At 46.3% G+C, this 26,553-nt stretch overlaps 1 long non-coding RNA gene across 3 annotated transcripts in view, besides 3 other annotated features; it reads right to left on the bottom strand.

The window, feature by feature from the left end:
* The window catches only part of LINC02641 (long intergenic non-protein coding RNA 2641), a 214,291-nt gene that overhangs the window by 165,483 nt on the left and 22,255 nt on the right, over positions 1–26,553 (bottom strand). The gene's annotated exons all lie outside the window — the stretch shown is intronic.
* Positions 3,767–3,876: an enhancer, noted in NCBI's record as "active region_4156". NCBI's record gives its function as "activates an Ori minimal core promoter by ATAC-STARR-seq in GM12878 lymphoblastoid cells {active_cell/tissue: GM12878}" and the evidence as "EXISTENCE:reporter gene assay evidence [ECO:0000049][PMID:35858748]".
* Positions 3,977–4,236: an enhancer, noted in NCBI's record as "active region_4155". NCBI's record gives its function as "activates an Ori minimal core promoter by ATAC-STARR-seq in GM12878 lymphoblastoid cells {active_cell/tissue: GM12878}" and the evidence as "EXISTENCE:reporter gene assay evidence [ECO:0000049][PMID:35858748]".
* Positions 4,387–4,766: an enhancer, noted in NCBI's record as "active region_4154". NCBI's record gives its function as "activates an Ori minimal core promoter by ATAC-STARR-seq in GM12878 lymphoblastoid cells {active_cell/tissue: GM12878}" and the evidence as "EXISTENCE:reporter gene assay evidence [ECO:0000049][PMID:35858748]".

Below are 26,553 nucleotides of genomic sequence, written 5' to 3'. Positions count from 1 at the left end.
AATAACAAAAACTGTGGGCCATCTATTTCAGTTCCATTTACAAGAAATCAATATCAATACTTAATGCAATACTGGTGAAAAATGAGCAGAGATACAGAAAGCATAATAAACCAGGAATGGAAGCCTCTCAGCATTTCACTTTGGAAGAAAAAACTAACTGTCTATATTTTCATGTTAAGGGATATTTCATTGAAACCATGCGCTGGAGGTATGAGGGTTTTCCAGATCTAACTTTAAAATATCCTCTTTATTTAATTAAGAAAGTTATTTAAACAGTCTATTTCTAGCTGGATAAAACTCATATGTATGGAAAGAGGCATTTCATCTTTCCCAATGCATTGGGCATCTTTCACCAAATTTTCTTTCTTGTAATAGCCTCAGTTGGATTATGCACATCCTGTGCCATCTTTATGCTGTCATTAACAGCCTAGCTTTGTGTTTGGGGGAAGTACCTGGTGTCGAAAAGTACCTGGTGTCGAACCAGATAAATGCAGGCAGCCAGCTCAGGTGTCTGACAGGGAAGCCACATAACAGTCCCGTGTTCCACCTGCATATGTGGACAACACATCCAGAAGCCCAACCCAAACGCAGGCGGACCTGGTCACTGCTCCTTCACCTGGACGCCTGCCAGGCAGACACCTGCCATCTCACTGTGGACTGTCCACAGCCATTCAGTTTGACCATCAGAGCCTGATTGTCTCAGCCATGGCCCTGGTTTTCCCCATCAGGATGCCCAGTAGGAGGTCTGTGTGGTCCCAGAGGTGGACAGGAGCCAGAACATCCAGGCCAACCCAGGCAGGACAGCAGTTCTCAGCCACCAGCAATAGCGGGACACCCAGCCTCCACTGAGTGGCCTGAGCATATCAAGTCATTTTACTTCCCTGAATGCCACTCTAATGGTGCAGCACCAGCTGTCCCTTCCTGGGGGCTCAGCATATCCTGGAAGGGTCTCTTGGGCAGATTCTAAAACTTTTAGGTTATTTTCATTATTAAAATTGTGTCTAGTTTAAAATTCCAATCTCATGCCCAACTCAAAGCTTTCTCCTCACCCTTCTCTGGCCAGGCTGAGGCTCCAGGGACTGCAGGGAGAAGGGGGTTCCTTCTTCCCTTGGAGTGGGGTATATTAGTTCATCTTCATTCTGCTGATAAAGACATACCCAAGACTGGGAAGAAAAAGCGGTTTACTGGACTCACAGTTCCATGTGGCTGAGGAGGCCTCACAATCATGGTGGAAGGCAAGGAGGAGCAAGTCACATCTTACATGGATGGCAGCAGGCAGAGAGAGAGCTTGTGCAGGGAAACTCCCCGCTATAAAACCATCAGATCTCCTGAGACTTATTCCCTATCAAGAGAATAGCACGGGAAAGACCTGCCCCCATGATTCAACCAACTCCCACTGGGTCCCTCCCGCAACATGTGGGAATTCAAGATGAGATTTGGGTGGGGACACAGCCAAACCATATCATGGGGCATCCCCCACCTCCAAGAACCTCCTCAGTGCCCAGAGGAGGGGGAGGAGACTATGAAGACCAGATGTCAGGCGGCACACCTGAGTGCATGACTGTGGGAGTAACAGAGACAGGGAGGAGGCATAGGCTTGAAGGGGGCTGGAGAAAGCAGCCATGGGTGTTTGGGACAATGTGACTCTGAAGAGCCTGGGAGACATCCAGGTGGAGACAGTAGCATCTTTGGGGGCTGGGGATGCCAACCTGAGTCTCCAGCATGGCACACAAGTGGAAGTTGCCATTGGCACGGATGGGTGCAGCAGCTGGGCCTCACTAGGACTCAGCCCTCTCCACGTGGGGAGCTGTCCTGGCGCTCACACCTGAGCCTGCAGTCCAGCCTGCAGCACCACGCTGTGTCTTGTATCTTTCATTCTCTGTGTCATGCATGTGTCACAGGTTCACCAAGTTTGAAGAGGGGAGTTACGTGAACTAGAATGTGGATCTCCTCACTCCCAGCCAGTGATTTCTTTTTTTCACAATGAGCCCCAGCATTGCTTTGTTTGTTTGTTTTGTGTAATTTGGTCTTCTGCATTACTTGCAACACAAAGTACTCTTTTCCTCAAGTAATTAAAAAACACTTGGATTAATATAATGATCTAAGGGGACCCTGCAGAACAACATCATTCCAATTCCTCCTCATTTTTTGGGGGTGGGGAGGTTAGATAATTGTGCATTCATTCATTCAATCATTCATTCATCCAACCTCGTTCCCCAGATGAGGCAGGGAAAGTATGAGAGGATGTGATTCATTCTGTCCAGGAAACAGCACAGCCAAGCAGCCACTCAGCTGAGACTTGAAGGATGAGGGGGAGCTCATTAATCAGGTGATGGCAGAGAGCACCCCACACAGGGACAAGGGAACAGAGACTGCGGGTAGCCAATCTATGGCATGTTGGAGAATTTGTATGGCTAGAGGGCCTTGGTGCATTTGGTAAAATTGACATGATCATATTGCCAACTGCCCTTCCCCCAACAAACTCTTGTTTATCCTTTAAGTCCCAATTCAGGCATCACCTTTTCCAGGAAGCCTTCCTGCCTGTCAGAGTTGGATGCTCCTTTCTCTGTCTGCATAGCCCACACGTTCTGGCACGGGTGGGGAGATGAACTGACCTCTGCTGCTTGAACTATGAGCTTCCACAGGGTGCAGGTTGGGTGGTGTTCTTTCTAGAATCCTTAGCCCTTGGCACAGGACTGAAACAGGCCAAACAAAGCCATCACAGACCCTGAGGGCTTGTCAGGAGGATTACAGGAAGCCAACTTTTTGTAAAGGGTTGCACGGCCACAGTAAATGCACAGTAAATGTCTGCTATGTTCTTACCAAATATTTGTCAAATAAACAAATACATTATGTAATATTTTACCTTTCTTCTTATTAAGAGATATTTCAGAGCCACACTGGATGAGAAGAGGGGGTGGAGGTGGGCATCATTCTCTGCTCCCCTCATCTCTAAACCCATGGAAAGGCCTGGGGTAGTAATTGCAGAGGGGGAAATAATTTTTAAATGTCTCTCTTTTTGTGCTTTTATTGTCAAATGATAGCATTGTTCACAGTTTTTGAAATACTGAAAGCAAGTCTGCACAACTCTTTCTGCAGAAACAATGGGAGCGTGTGTGTGAGTGTGTATAAGCGTGTGTGATCTCTGTTCCTCTGCCATAATGTGTGTGTGTGTGTATGAGTGTGTGTGATTTTTGTTCCTCTACAATAATGGGTGTCTGTATGTGTGAGTGTGTATGAGTGTGTGTGATCTCTGTTCCTCGCAATAATGAGGGTTTGTATGTATGAGTGTGTGTGATCGCTTTTCCTCTACAATAATGGGTGTGTGTGTGTGAGTGTGATCTCTGTCTGTTCCTCTACAATAATGGGGGTGTGTATGTAAGTGTGTCTGAGTGTGTGTGATCTCTGTTCCTCTGCAATAATGGCGGTGTATGTGTGAGTGTATGTGTGTGATTTCTGTTCCTCTGCAATAATGGGGGTGTGTGTGTGAGGGTGTGTGATCTCTGTTCCTCTATAATAATGGGGGTGTGTGTGAGTGTATATGAGTGTGTGTGATCTCTGCTCTTCTACAATAACGTGTGTGTGAGAGAGAGAGATCTCTGTTCCTCTACAATAATGGGGGTGTGTATGTGAGTGTGTATGAGTGTGTGTGATCGCTGTTCCTCTACAATAACTGGGGTGTGTGTGAGTGTGTATGAGTGTGTGTGACTCTGTTCCTCTACAGTAATGGGTGTGTGTCAGTGTGTATGAGTGTGTGTGATCTCTGTCTGTTCCTCTACAATTAAGTGACCAGAAGCAGGTGGCTTCAAAGGTGAATTAATTCTCTGCTGGAAAAATTGGGCTAGAAAAATCTAGTCATTAGGAAACCAGAAAAGCAAGAAATGTAACTTCTGCTCAATGAAAGTGAACTGAATTTCTATTGAGGCCCCCTTTCTCTAAAACTCATTTTCAACTAACTCAGTGCTGTCAGCCAGCCCTGGGGCTGTACTTGGGGCTTACGTGTGGCTAAGATGTCAGGCAGCGGGGTCTGGTCCTTGTTGTCATCTCACTGCATGGCCACAAACATGTTCTCATTCCCTGCTGGTCTCAGTTCCTGAGCCAGTCCTGATGATCCATGGAGACTCCTACCTCGCTCCTGCCTCCCAGCTTAACCAAATGGTCTCTCTCCCTCTCCACCCCACCACCACTCCTACTGTCTCCAACCCCTCTTCGACACCCAGGAGCCATCTGGCTGCTTCTGTACCTCTCTGGGGACTCTCAACTTCCCTGCACTGAGACACCCACACCTGGCTCTTTCTGCCCTATAGCTCTTGCACCGTAATGAGTCAAGGGCAGTACTGAGATTTCACAAGTTCCCAGGCCTTCCCCAGGGGAATTGGAGGTGCGTGTCTCCTCTGCTCTCAGTCCCCAGATCCAGAGAGGGGTCTGCTTCTCCTTCCCTTCCCACAAGCACCAAGGCTCTCTCTTCTTCTCTCACTTCTTCTTTCAATCCCCTCCAAAAGTTATCTAGCCACAGGGCAATAAGAACTGGCTTTGACTGATTTGCATTCTTTCAAATATTTTCCTGTGCTAAGACCTAAGCTGCTGGAAGTCAAAAGCAGATTATTTGTATTTTTGCTCTTCTGCTGCCTATACTAGAAGATGGAAGAAGGAGAGGAGGAAATGCCAGAGAAAGAAGCATGGATAACATCGCAGAATACCACACCCTACCCAGGTGGGAAGACAAGTCCAGGCTCCTCAGGTTTAAGTGGATATCCAGTCCCGTGGTGCTGCCAGACAACTGTCTTGGGTACATCTGGCCACCACGTGCTGGCTAAGATATGGGGGGACCCCTGGGGAGCACTCATACCTGGCTTGCATCTCAGCTGTTCCTTCCTCCCTGCGTGACAGATCAAGCACCTCCCCCCGAACCTTGGCTCCTTACGAGGACTGCTGGGGCCACAGCGATAGCATGAGAAGCAATCAGGGCTTGGGACCCAAAAAGAACCACGGAGACTCCCCAATGGTCCCACATTTATTCTCTTCCACGTGGTCTGGATAGAAAACTAGAGAGAGTGTGGACAGCACTTGCCTCCGCTGAAAAAGTAACTCTCACCCTCTTCCCCCAACTCAGACTGTTCCAGAACAACCAGAGGCGTAGAGCCACACACTCCTCTCAGCCAGCCTGTGAGTGAGGCTGAGTTGCACTAAAGAGATTGTGCAGGCGCCGCCAGCTTCCCAAAGGCAGACTCTTCCCACAGCTGCAAACACTCCTCTAAGAACTCACCCACCCTCGCAGCTTGACCAACGTTCTCTGCAACTTCCTAGAAGATGAAAACATACCCTCCAGCCCTAGCTGTTCTCAGGTTTACTTTCTGACACCCCCTTCCCAGAGAGCTCCCATTCTCCCAGGGGCCTCCCTTTCCAGGGGTCAGCACTTAACCGTTGTCTCCTCCCAACAAAGCCTAAGAGAGGGCTCCCTGACCCGCTGGCCCAAAGGCCTGGGTCCCGGGCCGCTCAGTCCTTCCATTTTGTCTTCCACAGCTGAGCCCACTGTTCCCTAGTGGATCCGCCTTCCAATGCCACCACCTTCCCTTCTACGAAGTCCCAGCCAGGGGATGAACTACAGAGGCAGCCCCTTCCCCATCACCATTACTGTCACTGACTGGCTGTGGGCCTTCATGCTCTTCCGGGTTCTGGTTGGACGGTAGCCAGGGAAAATGCAGGGGGTGGGGTGCCGTGACAGGGAAGTCACCTGCAGCCCAGATCTGCTGCGTCCCAGGGTGTGCACTAGAAAGTGAATTGTTTCTTGTTCTTTTTTTTCTTTGTTATATGCTCTAGGGAATAAAAGGAATTTTCTTCCTTACACCCACCTCACCCCCAGCGGGACCAGACTCTTCCTGTCTGAGATTTCCTCACTCCCTGTGGGGTTCAGGGGGTACAGACACAGGTTTTGGGGGTTTTAATCTCTGGAAAGAAGAGAACTTGTCAGGACCTCCAAGAGACCTCCCTAAACAGAACCTGTTTTTGAATAACCTGAGGGTATTTCTCTAGGTCATCCCTGAGGGCAGGGGAGGGTCAGGCTCTCGGTTTCAAAGATAGGCTGGGGATGGGGGGCCTACCTGGACTGGAACAGGATGCACTTTTGAGGGTCCTGTGAGTGGTGGGCACTGGGACCTCACCTACCTGGGAGGACCCCTGTGGAGACAGTGCCAGGAGCCCCTTGTGGCCTTGCTCGGGATCACAACCTCTGAGAAACCTTCCAGTGGGCTGGGAGAACCTGGGCCAGGAGTTACCGGTGGTGAGTGAATGGCCCTGGCCTGATCTGCCTGAGGCCTCACCTCCCAAGGCCTCACCTGCCCATTCTTGAGTTGCTTACCCCCTGAATCTCAACAAAGTCCCCGGGAAGAGAAGAGTGGCCCTGGGTGACCGCTGGGGGATTCTTGCCAAGTGGTCAAGTTGAAACCAGGTGGGATTTCATGTGGAAACATAAAGAAAGAAAACGTTTCTTTGCATCTCAAGTCTAAGGGTGGATTCATGTTTGGCAAATGTTATCCCACCTCTCCTATGATTCCCATTTTACAGATGAGGAAATTAAGGCTCAAGGAAAGTGAGTAACCCCCAAGTTCACTGAGTACAGTCAAACGCAGCTTTGTCTGACTACAAAGAACATGCTTTTTCAGCCTCCCCACATAGTTAGCAGATATCAGTTAGCACAAAGCTATTTAGTGGCAGGGTCCAGGCCAACATCTGGGACCATGCTGGTTTCAGAAATGGGGCGATTCTCTCTGGAGTCATCCTCTTGGGAACAGACTGGCCCCAGAAGTTCTTCTAGACCTGCAACTGGATGCCCTCAGCTCTCTAAGTCACTGTCCCCCACCTGTGGAGTCGGTACAGTGAGACAGGATTTATCCTTCTCATGAAAATGTTGAGAATGACATGAGAAAATGTGCACAGAAGCACTTTAGAAATTAAAAGTGATTGTGTTAGGCTAATAATGCCCCCACCGAAATATATCTACATCCTCATTCTTGAAACTTGAGACTGTTACCTTATATGGCATTAAAAAGGATGAACCCTTACAGATATGATGTGACTAAATTAAGGATCTTGAGACAGACATTATCTTGGATTATTTGGATGGTCCTTAAACTCAAGCACATGCATCCTCATCTGAGGGGTCAGAGGAAGATTTTATACACAGACACAGAGGAGAAGGAGGTGTGACCACAGAGGCAGAGCCTGGGGTGACATGGCCACAAGCCAAGGACTACCAGCAGCCACCCCAGCTGGAGGAGGTAAGGAATGACTTCTTGCTTGGAACCTCCAGAGAAAGCACAGCTCTGCAGGTACCTTGATTCCAGCCCAGTGATATATGTATTAGTCCATTTTCGCACTGCTAATAAAGGCATACCTGAGACTGGGTAATTTATTCAGGAAAGAGGTTTAGTGGACTTACAGTTACACTTGGCTGGGGAGGCCTCACAATCATGGCGCAAGGCAAGAAGGAGCAAGTCACATCTTACATGGATGGCAGCAGGCAAAGAGAGCTTGTGCAGAGAGGAGACCCCTGTTTTAAAAACCATGAGATCTCATCAGACTCACTCACTATCATGAGAACAGCAGGGGAACGACCTGCCCCCATGATTCAACCATCTCCTACCGAGTCCCTTCCACAACATGTGGGAATTATGGGAGCTACAGGATGAGATGTAGGAGGGGACACAGAGCCAAACCAAATCTTTCCGCCCCTGCCCACCCCCTAATCTCATGTCTTCACATTTCAAAACCAATTATGCCTTCCCAGTAGTCTCCTAAAGTTTTAATTCATCTCAGCATTAACTCAAAAGTCCACAATCCAAAGTCTCATCTGAGACAAGGCAAGTCTCTTCTGCCTATCAGCCTGTAAAATCAAAAGCAAGTTAGTTACTTCCTAGATACAATGGGAGTACAGTCATGGGTAAATACAGCTGTTCCAAATGGGAGAAATTGGCCAAAACAAAGGAGTTACAGGCCCCAAGCAAGTCCAAAATCCAGTGGGGCAGTCAAATCTTAAAGCTCCATAATGATCTCCTTTGACAACATGTCTCACATACAGGTCACACTGATGCAAGAGGTGAGTTCCCATGGTCTTGGGCAGCTCCACCCCTGTGGCTTTGCAGGGTATAGGACCCTCCTCACTGCTTTTATGGCATTGAGTGTCTGTGGCTTTTCCAGGCACATGGTGCAAACTGTCAGTGGATCTACCATTCTGAGGTCTGGAGGATGGCGATGACCCTCTTCTCATAGCTCCACTAGGTGGTGCCCCAGTGGGGACTCTGTGTGGGGCCTCCAACCCCACATTTCCCTTCCACATTGCCCTAGCCGAGGTTCTCCATGAGGGCCCTGCCCCTGCAGCAAACTTTTGCCTGGGCATCCATGCATTTCCATACTTCCTCTGAAATCTAGGCGAAGGTTCCCAAACTTCAGTTCTTGACTCCTGTGAACCCACAGGCTCAACATCATGTGGAAGCTGCCAAGGCTTGGTGCTTTCACCCTCTGAACCAACAGCCTAAGCTATACCTTGGCCCCTTTTAGTCATGGCTGGAGTGGCTGGGATACAGGGCAGCAAGTCCCTAGACTGCACACAGCAGAGGGACCCTGGGCCAGGCCCCTGAAACCATTTTTTCCTACTAAACCTCTGGGCCTGTGATGGGAGGGGCTGCCACAAAGGTCTCTGACATGCCCTGGAGACGTTTTCCCCATTCTCTTGGGGATTAACATTCCACTTTTTGTTACTTATGCAAATTTCTGCAGCAAGTTTGAATTTCTCCTCAGAAAATGGGATTTTCTTTTCTATCACGTTGTCAGACTGCAAATTTTCCAAATTTTTATGCTCTGCTTCCCTTATAAAACTGAATGCCTTTAACAATGCCCAAGTCACTTCTTGAATGCTTTGCTGCTTAGAAATCTCTTCTGCCAGATACCCTAAATTATCTCTCTAAAGTTCAAAGTTCCACAAATCTCTAGGGCAGGGGCAAAATGCTGCCAGTCTCTTTGCTAAAACATAACAAGAGTCACCTTTGCTCCAATTCCCAACAAGTTCCTCATCTCCATCTGAGACCACCTTAGCCTGGGTTTCATTGTCCATATTGCTATCAGCATTTTGGTCAAAGCCATTCAACAAGTCTCTAGGGAGTTCCAAACTTTCCCACATTTTCCTGTCTTCTTCTGAGCCCTCCAAACTGTTCCAACCTCTGCCTGTTACCCAGTGCCAAAGTCACTTCCACATTTTCAGGTATCTTTTCAGCAGCACCCCACTCTACTGGTACCAATTCACTGTATTAGTCCATTTTCACACTGCTGATAAAGACATATCTGAGACTGGGTCATTTATACAGGAAAGCAGTTTAATGGACTTACAATTCCATGTGGCTGGGGAGGCCTCACAATCATGGCGCAAGGCAAGGAGGAGCAAGTCATGTTTTACATGAATGGCAGTAGGCAAAGAGAGCTTGTGCAGGGAGACTCCCATTTAAAACCATCAGATTTCATGAGACAGACTCACCATTATGAGAACAACATGGGAAAGACCCACCCCATTGATTCAACCATCTCCCACCGAGTCCCTCCCACAGCATGCGGGGATTATGGGAGCTACAAGATGAGATTTGGGTGGGGACACAGAGCCAAACCATATCAATATTGATCTCAGATATCTGGCCCCCAGAACTGTGAGAAAATAAATTTCTGTTGTTTAAAGCCACCAAGTTTGTGATCGTCTGTTAAAGCAGCCCTAGAAAATGAACAGAAAAAGGGAATAACGCTTTTGGCAAAACAGATGTTCTGAGATGATCACAGAGAAAATTCTAACCAATCACACCTGTGCTGCACAATGACTAATTTGGGAAACTGGAAGTTCCCTGTCACAAAAGCTCAAGTCTCTGGACAATTCCCCAAACTTTCATTTCTTTTCCCTCAATATCCTCATGAAGACAGGGCTTGTGTTAACTCTCATATGCTGATTGCACAAGTACAAAATAGCACAATGCCTTTAGAGGGAAATTTGGCAACAAATTCCCTTGGCCCAGCCATTGCACTGCTAGAATTTTTCCTAACGATACACTGGCCTCCACCAAATGTGCACCCCTGGGAGTGTTTGAATACACTAATGCATATCCACTCAATAGAGTTAATAAACACACATATGTATACACATATATACATATTATACACACACACGTGCTCATTTTCATAAAAAGACACACAGAATGATAAACCAAAATCTAATAAAAATGTCTACCTATAGGGAGTAAGTAGGAATGGCATGGAGAGAGGAGGTTTAGGGGTGAGATTTCTCTGAGTATACCTTTTTACATGGTTTTGTCTTTTGAACCATGGCATGTTTTACATATTTAAAAAATACTAAGTAAAAAAGGATAAACAAAAGCAAACCCTAAAATCTAATACAAACAGAAACAAATGATTCTATATGCATATCAAACTTAAAACCATTCAGAAAAAAGAATTAGTTCAAGTAATTTTTGAACTCAGTGATCTGACTCTACACACTTAGTGGGATGTATCCAAAGGATAAGAATAGCTACAAAAAAATCTTGCACTTTAACTTAGTGAGTTTGTTGGTGGTAGTGCTCTTGGGATAGTAATTCTGACACTATTTTGGGTACCTCGAGGATGAGCAACTAGATTGATGTAGATGAGAAGCACAGTTGTCACTGGGAGAAGGAAAGTACAAATATGAAAGAGAGATAGTATCAGTATGCACATGTGATTTGTAAAAATACAAAGTGCATTAAGGACCCTGCTTCTTAGTTCCTCCCTGTGTCCACACCCTTTGCCACATGACTTTGCAGTTTCCCCCACTAAAGAGGCAGAGGATACCTCCCTGTCCTTGCCTTTGGGGTGACCATGTGACTTGCTGTGGCTGACAGAGTGAGTGGATATGATGTAGCCAAACATTTGTAAAGTGCTTATGCAGTTGGGCTTTCCCGTTTGGGCCTCTGCCATGACCATAAGAACATACCCAGGTTAGCCCAGTGACCCCGGGAGGATGAGAGGCACATGGAGGAGAGATGAACCAACCCTGCTGAGCCCAGCCTAGATGGTCTGATCCCTGGCAGATTCCCAGACACACAAATGAGCCCAGCCATGATCAGATCTCCAGCCAACCTGAAGGCCCAGGAGAATAAATGATTTTTCTTTTAAGCCACTGAGTTTTAGCATGGTTTGTTAAGTAGCAAAATCAACCCCTTTAGAAGGAAATTTGGCAACAAATTCCCTTGGCCATTACACTACTAGAATTTTCTAGAGGATACACCCACCTCCACAAAATGCACTTTGTTAGCTTTTGTCATTTAGTGGGATTGGTGGGATGGAGCAACAGAAATACTGTCAGTGGGCTGGTGGTATAGCACAACAGAAATAAAGGAAAACAAGGACCAGAAGGGTGGTCAGCGACCCTGGGCCTGCACAGGACATGACGTGATATAGGAACATCACAAACAGCAGCAGCTCCTTCCCTTTCCCTTTGACAAACACACTAGAAAAAAACAAACAAACAAAAAACTTGACCTACTGATAGCATTTGAATCCAAGAATTGCATTTCATTTGAGAGCTAAGGCCAAAGCCAGAACCAAGAGGGCAGTGGTGAGCTCTGATGCTGTGGATTCAAGACAACTCAAACTTGCAGGGAATACATAAACTCTTAATTTTATGTCTTAATGATATGTTAAGAATAAGATTATGATTGTTGCATTTTTGAGTAGAACATAAGGTCATTTCGTCCAGTCCCTCATTTTACAGATGAAAAAACTGAGGCCCAGAGAAGCCAAAGACACAGCAAGGGTGCAGCAGAGCCAGACTGGAATATGGGTGTGGTCACTGCCTCCTCCTGTCCCTCCAGGCTATCCCCGAAGGCTACAGAATCCTCCTGTTCATCATAAGGGGAAGATCTTTTGTGAGACAGCCCAAGACTGATACTAGATGCTCCAAGCTTCTGTCCTGTTTCATCTTTAACTGAGCACCAGGCACCAGATCTACACTTCCATGTCACCATCATCTTAAACCTGAAGTCTCTATTAAGCTCCACCCAGGAGACCAGTTGCCTCCTCTGTAGAAACACTTCATGTTCTGAAGGTGCTGGTGCCACCGGCTGACTCCAAGAGGTGTTGTCAGCAGGCAGTGCTATCTGATCTGGCCCTCTGTTCCCTCTGTTTCTTTTAGTTGTGTGTCTGTTGCATTCTTTTAACTCTCCCCTTGTTCCACCCCTACAAAGAAGCAAGATGCAGATAACGTGACAGAATAAAATAACATTTAAAAGAGAAAAAAGATTAAGAACCATTTCAGTAGGCTCTGGCCTGGCTGGTGTGTGCTGATGGAGTCAGGGAGCACACGCAGGAGGTGTCTGATAGTCGCGCGGTGAGAAGAAAGTTGGACAGGCATTGAGGAAGCATGGAGAACTGGTTTCCAGTGCTAGCACTTTGCCATCCCTGGGGACATGAGGGAAGTTACTGAACCTCTCTAAGGCTGTCCCATCTGTAGCCTGGGGACAGCAGCAGCCTCTTGGCAGCTTTCATGAGATAGCATGACGTTGCTGTGGGGACCTTTAGGGCAGGACCCATAATGATGATACTTAAATCATCCTTGTTATAGAAGAGAGGTAACAACCCTTCTTCGGTCCCAAGGTCACTCCTCTGCTCCAGAATGCAGGGAGTTTCTCCTGAAAGTCGGTCTTCATTCTTCCTCTGCAGATGGCATGGTCCCACTCATTCCCTTATTTATTCCAAATTCAACCATTTACCATTTATTTCTCCCATCCCTCAGCTTCCTTCCATTGCCACCTAGTTTAGGACATCACCAGCCACCCGGATCCATCCACACTGCTCTCAGTCCTGGCCTCCAGGGCACCCCATACCGCAGCAGAGAAGGGTGTGTTCCTAAAATGCACTGCTCTTAGGATGAAAAGCACATCCTGAATACAACCAACACGCCGCCATGATGCTGGCTGCTGCCCACACTGCCAGCCTCATCTCATTCTCCTCTCTCCTCCCCGCTCCTCAGACCAGCCACGCTGTGCCACACTCTCATTTCCCCAAACCTACCATTTCTATATTCCCTAGAACTGCCATAACAAATCTCCACAAACCTAGTGGCTTAAAACAGCAGAAATTTATTCTCTCCCCGTCTAGAGGCCAGAAGTCCAAAATTAAGGTGTGGATTTTGCCCCACTCCCTATGCAGGCTGGAGGGGAGGACATTTTCTTGCCTCTCGTGGCTTCCAGGGGTGGCTGGTAGCCCTTGGGGTTTCTGGGCTTCCAGCTGCAGCACTTCCCTCTCTGCCTCCACTGTCACAAGGCGACCTCCCTCGTGTGTCTGTGTCCTCACATGGCATTCTCCTCCCTGTGTGTCTCCCTCCACTCTTCTTATAAGGACACAAGTCATATAGGATTTAGGGCCCAACCTACTTCAATATGACCTCATCTTCACTTGATAACATCTGCAAAGACCCTATTTCCAAATGAGGTTGCATTCACGGGTACCAGGACTGAGCAGTTTTTAGGGAGATGCAACTCAACCCATACCTGCCAAACATCTTCATGATCAGACCCTTCCTGCAAGACCTTCCCTTTGCTGACACACTTTCCCTACCCACTCTCTCACCCACCTTCATTCTGTCCCTCTGCCCCACCCTGTGGATTTCAGGTCAAAAGTCACCTGCTTCAGGAAGCCTCCCCTGATATACCAGGTCAGTTCCTATTGTGCTTGCTGAATGTCTCTGAGGCCCTCATCCTCCTGTTGAATAGACCTATGGGGCTATTCAACTAACGTCTGCCTCCTCCACGAGATTACATGCTGCACAGGGACAGAAGCAGACCACTTTGTTTATCACCATGTCCCCAGCATTAAGAACCAAGCCGGTGCTCAGTACACTCAGTACAAGTGAGCTAACAAATGAACAAACTGAGATTGAGAGCACTGTGTGCTAGGCTACAAGGATACAGAGACACTGATGTGGTTTAGATCTGTGGCCCCACCCAAATCACATGTCAAATTATAATCCCCAGTGTTGGAGGCCTGGTGGGAGGTGACTGGATCATGAGGGTGGAGTTTTCGTGAATGGTTTAGCCCCATCCCCACTTGGCACGGTATAGTGAGTGAGTTCTCTTGAGATTTGGTTGTTTAAGTGTGGCGCCTCCTCCCTCTCTCTCTTCCTCCTCTTCCAGCCATGTAAAGTGCTGGCTCCCACTTCCTCTTCCACCATGAATGTAAGTTTCCTGAGGCTTCCCCAGAAGCCAAGCAGATGTTAGAATAACATTTTCTGTACAGCCTGCAGAATCGTGAGCCAATTAAACCTCTTTTCTTTATAAATTACCCAGTCTCAGGTATTTCTTTGTAGCAATGCTAGAACAAACTAGTACAGACACCACGGTAGAAGGGGTGGGGTCTCCTGTCTCTTGGCTCAATAGGAAGGAAGGCACCAGACAAGTAACTAAAAGGGAAGGTGGCACATCCTACACCCCAGGGACGAACCAGATACAACAGGATTCAGACTAATTGCTGGGAGACAATAAGGGTTTCACCTCGAAGCTGCCAATTGAGCTGAGTTTTACAGGGAAAGAACGGAGAGAAAGGCATTCCAGGCAGAGGGACCAGCCTATGCAAAGGCACTGAGGTGAGAAAAGGTTCAGAGTATGTGGAGAGCAGTAAGATCCAATCCCCAAATGGACCAGCCAGGCCAAACTTGGGAAACATTGTCTAAGAGTAGGAAATACTCCATGGATGGAGACTTTTCCCTACTACCCACCACAACTACATCCAGAGTGAAAGAAATGGAGAGGTTAAGTAGCCTTTGCTATGGCAAAAGGAAGGATCCTGCGGTTTGCATTTGATTTGAGCCACTCAGTTGCAACTGTGAAGCCATGGCCTCCATCCCTGCATATTCCATAGTAGGCAGCACCTCAGAGTTCCAAATCCTGGGACTTTTCTTTTAAAGGTCTCTGGAAAAGCACAGTAGGTGCCCTTTAGGAACTGGGAATTAAAAGATCACAACAAGAAAGTCCCTTTTCCTGCTGTCCTTGCTCCTTGCTCCTCCTGTGGCCCTGACTGAGACGGGGAGGCCCACGTCTCTGCCTGGCCCCTAAAGAACACTGTGAGTGCATGGAGCCGTCTCTCCTTCCCTTCCCAAAGTCCCCAGAAGTTCTAGCCTGGCTTCCAGAAACATGCTTCAGCAGTGGTCTGGTGTGATTCAGTTTTTGTTACTTCCTGAGCGTGACTAATCCAATTTGACCCTTCCCTGCCATGTACACAGAGTCCTTCTCACTCTTCTCTACACCACAAGAGTGGCCTATTGTGCAGCAAGAAATCCATGCTGATCAATTCAGGGCAGGCTGCATTAGGAAGGCAAATTACACGAATATGAGTTGGGGATAACTATGATTAATCCTTTGGCCAGGCAGAGCCCTGATTCCCGTCATGCCCTTGGGCAGCTCAGAGGTGACAGGGATAAGGACAGCACTTCTGATGGCCGCTGGACCCAGCCATTCATTACCGTGATGTCCCCATCACTGAGCCTACTGATGAGATTATTGATCGTGGGAAATAATTATATGAAATGCATTGCAGTAAGCATCGGCCATTGTCTTTGTATTTATTGGCAAGGGATGTTAAGCTTTTCCTCATTTTAGAAGAGCTTCACTTTTAGGAATTAATTGATGGAACCTTTTCAAACTAACAATTGTTACTTTCATGGGGGAAAAAGCAGGAGAGAGCGGAGGAAAAACAGAAAGAAGAAGCAAACATCAACGTATAGGAAAGGCCTAGAAAAATGGGAAGTCTAGTACCCAGTAGATGGTGCTGTAATCAAATTCTAAAACTTGTTATACCAGAAGCTCAGAAAAGTGCTGGAGAAAGTGAGAGGAAGGGAAAGCTTGTCGGAATTAAAGGTACACAGTTCAATGGACTTGGCCCTATCTCTCACTTTAGTAAAAGATGATGTTGATGTTGATGATGATGACAACGAGGATGATGATGATGGTGGTGGCGGTGATGGTGGTGATGACGATGATGATGGTGATGATGATGGTGATCATGATGATAGTGGTGGTGATAATGGTGATGATGATGGTGATGATAATGATGGTGATTATGGTAGTGAGATGATGATAAAGGCAAGGCTTCCTTCTAGAAATAACAGACTGGGAGGGTTTTCTACTTTGAAAGGAGTCAATGCAAGGCGATGCTGGGAGATAAGAGCCCCCCAGAACCAAATATACTTGTCCCCTTGCCCACTTTGGTCCCATAGAAATCCTAGAAAAATTAGTTAAGGGTGAAAAGGCCCTTTCAGCACTGAATATTAAGTGACACCTAAAGATATCTTCAATTCCACCCCAATGAGAACAAATGTCATTCACATACATTTTCCCCACATAAGGAAACTTGTGTATAAAAAAGCTGCTTTCAGATTTTTGAAATAAATAACTAGAGTGGACCAGATGGGGAGCTGAGTGTGCGAGTGAACCACCTATTTTCACATCGGTTGCTGTCGGCTTGCCCAGAGCCTTTCCAGACCCCTTTGAGACCTCAGGTAGAGGGCTTATGGCTGGGAGCCCTCAGGTGGATGGGGAGAGGAGCTCTTGAGAACAACTGGGAAAGCCTATTGTTTTGTGGACCACTGGGGAGGGAGGGGTTAACTCCATCACAGGAGGAAAGAAGGGCTGGGAAGCATAGGTGTAACTGGAGACGTCTTTGGATTTGCACACTGGACAGCTAGCCGCCACCATGTGTGCAGATGAAATTCTCTTTGACTCCTTCAATCACTGCCCCCATGTGCCTTGCGAGGCCTTCCCAAGCATCGAGAGCATCACACTGTCTTCATGTGGCTGTAGAAGGCTTTCTTTGGATGCAGGCTCATGGTTGGTTTGTTGGCAAATACCCCCACTCCTAAGAAGCCACCTGCATGTTGCAAAGCATTCTGAAATACCTGGATGGAATTGCTGGGGTAAAGGTCAAGGCCGGGTACCTAAACTGTGGAGGAATGGCGTGATTCCTGGGAGCAGGGATGGCTGGAAATAGACGTGGGCCCAGGGTTTCACAGGGTACAGAGCTTGGTGGGGGGGATGCCAGTACTATGTGTGTTTCCATAGACACAATGCTCTAATTGCCCCTGGGCTGCCTCCCTGGGGCCGCTTAGATGATCCAGTCTCATCTCAGTTATAGAATTTGGGCAAAAGGAATAAATTAGGCAATGTGGCTGAGGAGGGTTTTGGGGGTGAGGCAAACCTTGAGCTTGACCCTGAAGACCCTGGGGAATGCAGAGGGAGAGGGAGGAGTCGAGGAGGGTTTCAGGTAGCAGAGAAGAGTCAGGAGGCACAGGGAGCCTTGGGCAAGCAGAGGGGCGTGGTCCCACTCAAAGGTAAAGGGAGAAATACGAGCTCCAAGCAGAGATCACTAGGGATGGCACCAAAGCAGGAGGCCCCCATACCCCAAATTCCTCATGGGAACTCGGCAGGTCTCCGTGGTGGCCCATGGCAGGCACATGGTGCCAGTGTCACAGGCTTGTTATAAAATCCATACAGAACTCCACAGGGGCAAGCACTGATTCAGACAGTGTGCTGCAGCTGTGAAGCCTTGCTGTCTCCTTGCTGCTCTCAGCAAGTCTCCTCTTTCCAGGGAGCTGTGCAAACCCATCAAGGAAACATTTCCATTCTCACCTTCTCAGGCGGGCACCTTCTTCTACACGTGTGACTCTGCCATGCCCCCTCCTGCTCAGCATGGCCTTGGCTGAATTCAACAGTCACCCAGCATGCCGTGTGGCCCCAGCTTACCACCACCTCCCATGGCTGAGAACAGCACATGCCACCCAAGAGCTCATCAGTTTACTTGTCCTTTTTTAACTGGAAAAAAAAAATCAGCAATTCAAAGGCCGAGGAAGAACTCAGTGAACCAGCTTCAATATGACAGTTACATGGAAATGTCCAAAACTTTCCAAGTCAGCCAGGATGGAACCCATTCTTTACTGAATACTAGCGGCCAGTGCCTTCAATGCAGCATCGATCTTCCTGCTGCCCCCAGCCCAGGACATGAGACCTCCAAGAACCTTTGACCAGGGTGGCCCCATCTTGAGAACCATGATCGGCCTCACCCTGTTGGCATCTCTTTGCCAGCATTGACCAAGGAGGAGTTAGGGCAGAGTTGCCCCTTCCGATGCCTCTGGCTAGAATGGGTGACAGCACAGAGCAAACAGCTCCTTGATACAACTGCCAGTTTCTGCTGAGGACTCAACTGAACTCAAGCCTGCAGACATTTCTATTGGGATCACACAACTGTCCTTTTAGCCTTGCAACAAAGCCACAAAAAAGTGTCTCAGGGAGTTCTCTTACAGCTGGGAGACCTAGTGTTGATTGGACCCTGGAACTAAAAACATGCCAAGCTAGCTGCAAGATTCAGGGCTCTGCTGGGTCTCTCTTTTGAGAGGCAGCATCTCCTCACTTGCTTTGCCCAGCAGAGGTGGGGCTGGCACAGGCCTGAGATCTCCAGAAAGCAGCCCGATGAAGGGGTGGGAGGGAGAGGGGTCGGGAAGGGAGGCCCGAGAGAGAGCCGTGGGGCAGCATGGGTCAAGGACGCCCCTTCACCCCCACCGCTTGTGGCTTTCCAACACCCAGCCCTTACTATGACAGTTCACGCCCAGCAGGTAAATATTTAGACTATTGCCTAAACGTTTTGGCATTTATGGACTCAAGGAAAACTGCAGCCAAGTCAGAAAACTTTTTCATAAATCACATTCCCTTGTGTAACACTTCTCATGTGTCCAGACTATTGAGCCACAGATACATTTCCTTAGGCTATAGAATTTCATTTAATCCACAGTGAGTTCCTGCTAATAAGGGATTTCAGCAGGCTGATATTTTCAAAAGCACAGAATCAATTCTAAATACACTGCATTTGCACCAAGAGGAGTGAAGACGCTAAAAATCATAATTATACCTGCTTTCAATCATCAGTTTTTACTGATGACTCTATTCCTAAAACTCATTTTCTCTGAATCTACCACTTAGAGGGTATAACCAGGACAACTGATAATAATTACTACCGTCACTTATTTTGTTTACATTTACATATTCCTTGAGGCACCCAAAGGCCCAGTGCTGGGGCCTTTGGCAAAGTAATAAGGTAGGTATATGTTGATTCTCAGCCACTTAGAAATAAGCCATCCCTCCATGGTGCTGAGCCTATCTTAAGTTTGTAAAATCACTCAGTAAACAGCAGACCTACTCTGTCAGGTACATGGTAGACATTTCAAAAAGACTTCCTAGATGAATGCATGAATGACCGAACGAATGAATACAGAGAAAGCGATTTGTAAATGGTGGAGTTCTTTACCACTAGGGAGAAATGATGAACCATTCTTATTAAATTTCATCATTAACTGTCCTACCAAGCTTCCTAAGCAGTGATCTAGCTTTGAAAAAAAATGGACAACGTGACTTTACCCCTCCACTCAAACAATATTTTTTGAGGGCCACGCTGTGAGGAATTCTGGGAATAGAGATGTGAACAAGAAAGACACAATTCCTGACCTCGTGGAATTTAGCCGAGCAGGGACCCAGAACAGTAAACAAGTCCTTCCACAGATAAGCACTGAGCTGCAGATGGGATGCATGCCATGAAGGAGACACACGGGGTCCCATAAGAGCAAACAATGGGGCCTGCCCAGTCTCAGGGGTCAGATTCCCCTAAGAGTGACACCAACGCTGACACCAGAGCACTCCAGGACTTTAAGAGAGGAAAGAAAACCAGACCCCGGAAACTGGAGAAGGCTGGGGTAGGAGAGTGGAAATTTGAGCATGGCCATACCCAGCACAGATCTTCTACCCTGCACCCATAACCAGGCCCTCATGGGCTGGTGGCATTGGGGGAAGGAGAGGAAGGCCACAGTCCCTGGACAGAGATAAGGAAATGCCCTGGGCTCTCACTGGCCCCTGAGCATCCCAGCCTCACCTTCCACGCCTCTGCCCTGCAGGGAAAAGCCACATTTCCCAGAACCCCTGTTCCCGTGTGCCTCTGGGTTAGGGTCAACCAATGAACTTGCTGTGTAAGATCTGGAAGGAGGAAAGAAGGGAGAAGTCCTTATTGATCTCTGGTGGCAGATGCAGGCAGATAGGTGGACAGAGATCAAATCTAGGGACTGAGATTAAGTCACCCGCTTTGGAGCTACAAGCAAGCGCAAAGGCAGCCCTGCTGAGGTTACAGAGACCCAGGATGGGCACTTGTTGAGGGAGACACTGAATCACCTACCAAGCAGCTGCTTCCCAGCGCTTCTGCTGACCGTAAGAACCTCCAATCCCCTGCATTAGATTCCTGTTCTGCTTGGAAGACCTAAAAGCACCCACCCGAAGCTCTTCCCACCATGGGAGGAAATGGCCCTGGTAAAGTAGTTCCCACCAACTACTTTACCAGGACCACTAGTGTCTGATAGCAGATTCCCCCACCTTCCCAAGACATTTACATCTCAGCAGTCACTGCTTGGGTGGCCTGTGCCTATAACCCCAGCTACTCATGAGGCTGAGGCAGAAGGATCCCTTGAGTCCAGGAGTTCAAGACCAGCCTAGGCACCATAGCAAACCCTGTCTCTAAAAAAAACTAGTTTTTATTTTATTTTATTTAATAAAATAGAAAATCACTGCCTGGAGAGATGGAGAAAACTATAATCAAGACAGATCTGTAGGGCTTGGGAGGTCTTCAGGCAAAAGTCATCCCCAGTAGGCAAGTGCAATGTAAGAGTGGGTAGCATGAATGCATTTGGTGACGTCACAGGAAGTCCATCAACTGGTCCAAGACAGAAACACCTTCACATTTGACCTGCACTGCCAAGACCCATCTCAACCCCAAGGGAAGGAGAGGGAAGATCCAGGCCAATTAACTCCTCTTATATCACTTTGAAGTCAAAGTGAATGCTTCAAAAATGGTACAGAATATGTTCCAATGCCCTTACCAAATGCAATAGTGGGAAGTTAATTTGAGTTCTCTTCCATGTCTGTCTTTCCTACCCTGGGGGCGAGACTTCTACATAATGCTGGCAGCAGGGGGCCTGGGCTCATCGCTGCTAAACTGACTGAATCAAGGCTCTTCCAAAAACGACAGCAACAAAAAACATAGCCCTGGAGGCCAAACGTCATATTAAGACTTTTCTTAATTTTCTACATCACTTCTGTCTGTTTATTTCCAAATCTTGAAGCAAACAAATTTTGAGAATGCAAGACTAAAAAATAAAAGTTTATTACTCAAGATCTCACAAGTTAAGTTCCAGGAAATTCTCTCTTTCTCAAAGAATTGCTACCTTATTTTCTACAGTGTAATAAAAATTCCATGAACCATCATGCCCTCGGCATCTGGGAAGCTCAAAACAAAATTGAACACATAGGAATAATAGTGCTGGCATCCCTGCGGTTAACAAATTCGTTTGCTCTTCTTTCTGTGAATTTAATTTTCTAGAGTTTGGCCTAAATTCCTTAATGTTCACACAACTTGCATACAAATTTACATCATGGCATTTAAATGTAGAAGCTGATTTGAAAAATATGAATAAACCCATAAATATCAAGAGGGAAAAGGGACAAAGGAAGAGAGAACAAGAGATCAATAGAATCAATCAGATCAAATCTTAGCATAAATGGAAAACGTGAACTGTGGTGGAAATGTTCTTATCCCTTAAATAGCAAGCTAAGGCTAACGGTGATTATGGGCTCTCATTTCAGATAGGCACCATTTGAGAAATGCCCTGTTCTGAAACATGGAAAATGAGAAATTATAGAGCCTATCTAACAAATCAAAAATAAATGAAGTAACAACATAAAGGTAGATTTACCGTTATTTATAATTTACCATTTTTACCTTGTTTTCAATTGTCTCTCGTCCTCTTCATTTGAAGAGCCCATTACATTTTATTATGCTAAACCCTATCTTCTGTCACATAAATTACAGTTAAAGATCTTAATACTAAAGCCTTTTAGCTCTGAGATCATATTTCAAGCTTTGTTCAAACCAGACGTTAATGCTAGAATTGAACACAGGACACTTTGTCATCATTACCTAGGATCTCAAAAGTATAATACAATTTTTGCTATATATGGCAAAAAAATGCCTCTCGGTATAACACTGAATTATGGAGATATATTGATTTCTGTAGTATTTTGACAAAACAATAAAACTAAACCTGTTAGCTCCTAAACAGATACCCAGACATCAACCCAGCCATGATAGCGACCGTCATGAAGATAAAGGTTTCATTTAGCCCACTTAGAAATAGGAAACTCCTCAAACTCATGTCCATTCTGGCAGTTCCTGCTGCTCACCTTTTTGTCATCCTCTTCTCTTTTCAGGGGCAAACAGGAGAGTAAAGAGAGGGCCAATTTTGCCATTGTCTTGGCTCAAATGGAAATCCCAAATCTCACTCACCTGCTCAAGGATCTTGGGCCACTAACCTAACTTCTGGGGGATTCGGTCTCTTCATAAGTAAAATGAGGACAATATCAGCCCCATGGGATTGGTGAGGAGATTAAATGAGTAAATACATACATGACACACCTACCCTCCCCTTAGGCCCAGTATGCAGTAGGTGCTCAATAAACAGTGGCTGCTGAAATTATTTCTTAAAGAATGCTGCAGAGTCAGCCTATGCCTCTTGCCCACACTCCTACGAATACGTTAGGAGACCTGGCCAAGTTCTCACCCTGCCTTTCATCACCATCTTTCCTTGTGATCTTGGGCAAATTGTGTTTGTTTTACAAGTCACCATCTAGAAAACGGGGATAATCACCCCTGCCCGGCCAACCTCAGAGGGTTGTTTGGGGATAAAATGGAATAAGAGATGTGATGGTGCTTTGCAAAGGAAAAAATGCTCCATGCACATAAAAGATTATTACCACAAATCAGCCAGATGGTGTGGAACTGCAAGCACCCTCAGAGCTCTGTGTCGTTCCAAGTCAGGCGTTTGGCCAGCAGGAAAAGAGAACTTTTCCAGGATAAATCAATGTGTCTGTTTCCCCCTAGTAATGATGATGATAATGGCACCACAACCGTACAACTAACCTTTTCCCCCTAGTAAATGATAAGAACAATGCTGCTGCCACAACAACTCGCATTTATTAAGCTCCTACTATGAACCAGACAGGGATAGCATTTTCACCTGAAACAGTTCTCCCATTCTCTTCTCACAACTACCTGGTAATGTAGACGCTACTATAGTCTGCCCTCTACACATTAAGCAAACTGAGGCCCAGAAAGTCTAAGCGATTTGCCCAAGCGCAATGGCTGCAAGGTGGAAGCACAGGATTGGGGCACAGGTCTGCCCAACTCCAAGTCTGGGGCTCTCTCCATCACACCTCTGGGAGGCTCCTGGCTGGGTCTGCCCAGGTGGGTGTAGAGCAACTGAGAATCATTGGATGGGTTTTCAGTCTTCACACAAGACTCTTGTTGGGCCCTAAGCTGCCAGGCCCAGTTGTCTTAACAGCTGCTCTGAACCAAGGGAATGGCCCCGCAGCAGGAGCCCAGGGAGAATTTAGAGCCTGGGAAAATGCCTCTAACCCATAACACGATTCCTGGTTACGGGTTATATTGGAGGAAGAGGGGGCCTTTAGAGCAGGAAGACCAGGGACCGCATCTTGGTGTCATCACTGCCTGGTTAAACAATCACAAGCACAGCCCACCTTCTCTCATCCTCAGGTTCCTTCTCCGGAAAGTAGAAAACTCTAAGAAATATAAACAATAATTCCTCTCTCATCAAATTGTTGTGCAGTGAAGTAAGAGGATGAGTATAAAAAGGCTTCACAAACTGTCAAACATGGCCCCAGTGCCTCCTCTCCTTGTTCCCTGTAGGGCCTGGGGGTCTGTCCTTGGTGCCGTCACTGCAATTGCATCTACCATGGCTCCTGTCCCAAGGCCAGGTTCACCTGCAGCAAAACACAAAGTCTCCCCAAGAACCACACCCAAATCAACACCAGCCTTCTGGCCTGACCTCCCTGTGCAGAGGACAAATGTGTGCAAAATGCACACTTACACACACACACATGCACGTGCAGACACACACTTTCAAACCCTTCATTGCCCTCCCACTATTCTAAGGATCAAAGCAAAATTCTCAGCACTGCCTACAAAACCTCAGATTTGGGGCCTCCAACCAGACACATAAACACACCCAGGTCTTTCAGCCCATCTTCCTCCCCTGCCTGATGCCCTTGCACTCTCCACCACCACCACCCATTTGCCTAGTTACCTATTTCTCCTTCAAATCTCAACTCAACCATGATGTCTTCATGTCATCATGCAAAGTCTTCTCTGTTATATGTAACACTAGGGACCTCTATTTTCTATTCCTACCACAGTAGTCTTTTCATATTTATTTGTGTGACTCCTTCATGTGTGTCTGTCTATTCTCCAGATAATAAACTCCATATGGGCAGGAGACATATCCATATTGCCACCATTATGAAACCCTAGAGCTTAGCACAGTGACTGGTACCCAGTAAATTCTCAAAATAAATGGTAAATTTATGATTGAAAACCAACATCACCCTCACCTGCCTTTTCACTTGTACACCTGTGCCTTTCAATTCAGTTGAAAATCATCAATGAACCTGGATGCCTACCTCACACCATACACAAAATTAATTCAAAAGAGACCTACATGCAAAAGCAAAGATTAAAATTAATCTGGGAGAAAAATCTTTGTGATCTTGAGGTAGGCAAATATTTCTTAGACAGGACACAAAAAAATATTAACCCTAAAAGAATGAAATCATAAATTTGACTTCACCAAAATTTGAAATTCTGCTCTTCAAAAGAAATCATGTTAAAAATGAAAAGACTGCCAGGCATGCTGGCTCATGCCTGTAATCCAAGCACTTTGGGAGCCTGAGGTGGGTGAATCACTTGAGGTCAGTAGTTTGAGACCCACGTGGCCAACATAGTGAAACCCTGTCCCTACTAAAAATACAAAACTTAGCTGGGCATGGTGGCACTCGCCTGTAATCCCAGCTACTCAGGAGGCTGAGGCAGGAGAATCCCTTGAACCCAGGAGGCAGAGGCTGCAGTGAGCCAAAATCACACCACTGCATTCCAACCTGAGTGATAGTGACTCTGTCTCAAAAAAAAAAAAAAAAAGAAAAAGACAAGCCACAAATTGAGAGAAAATATTTCAATACACAATCTGACAAAGGTCCTATATCCACAATATATAAAAAACACTTACAACTCAATAATAAGAGAAACCACCCAATAAATAAAATGAACAACAGACTTGACCAGGCCCTTCACCAGAGAAGATAAACAAATGGCCAAAAAGCACATGAAAAGATGTTGTTCAACATCATTAGTTGTTAGCTACATGCAAATGAAATCCACAATGAGACACCACTTTTTATTCCCTAGAATGTCTAAAACTAGAGACTGACAATACCAAGTGTTGCCAAGGATGTGAAGCAACCGGAACTTTCATATACTGCTAGTGTGACTATAAAAAGATACAACCACTTTGCAAAACCACTAGGTGCCTCTTATACAGATTATAATCCACTTATCTTCCTAAGCACTTACCCAAGAGAAATAAAAGCATATGTCCACACAAACAATGTTAGTGGCTGCTTTATTCACTATTGAAAAAACTGAAAATAACCAAAATGTTATTTATATCAACAAGAGAACTGATAAACTGTGGTATATTCACTCAATGGAATGCTACCCAGCAATAAAAATGTACAAAGTACAGAGTGAGAACATGAATGAATTTCTAAAAATATTATACTGAATGAAATAAGCCAGACACAAGAGTAGAAAATGTATTATTTCATTTATAGGGAGTTTGTTCAAGAACAGGCAAAATTAGTCTATGCTGAAAGAAATCAGATCAGTGGTTGATTGGGGCAGGATGTGAGATGCTGGAAATGCTGACCAAGGGGTTGGTTACGTGACGGTCTACTGTGTAGGTTCATCAAAACTATCCAAGTGTACAGATAAGATCTGTGCTCTTACTTTATGTAGTTTATACCTCAATAACATTGAAGTTAAGAAAGCAACGTTGACTACTCTGCCTCACATCCAAAGGAGGGAGTTGACCACTTTCTTTTCTTCTTTCCACCCTCCTGGGTGAATTTTGGTCAGAAAAGAAAATGGCATTTTAAAAAGGAATTGATGCATGAGGTTGTGTTTTTTATACAGTAAAGGACAAAGCTGGTTTCCCTGCCTCCTGTCTCTCCTATCCATTCTCCACAAGAAACCCAGAATGAGGTTTTGAACTCATCACATGAAACACTCCTACCTCCTACAGGAAAAATCTCCTGTACTCATGCCCACAGAGGACCAAGTTTATCTGGCTGTATTAGTTTCCCAGGACTGCCATAACAAATGACCACAAACTGCTTGGCTTACAATGGAAATGGATTCTGTCACAGTTTTGGAGGCCGGAAATTCAAAATCAAGGTATCACAGGGCCAGGTTCCCTCTGAAGAGGATCTTTTGTTGCCTCTTCCAGCTTCTGGTGGCCCCTGCCATTCCTTGGCTTGTGGCCACATCATCACTCCACTC

This window comes from Homo sapiens, chromosome 10 (genome assembly GCF_000001405.40).
Source record: "Homo sapiens chromosome 10, GRCh38.p14 Primary Assembly".
Classification (NCBI taxonomy): Eukaryota; Metazoa; Chordata; class Mammalia; order Primates; family Hominidae; genus Homo; species Homo sapiens.
The sequence above is the reverse complement of the archived record's forward strand: the minus strand, read 5'-3'. Positions and strand labels throughout refer to the sequence as shown.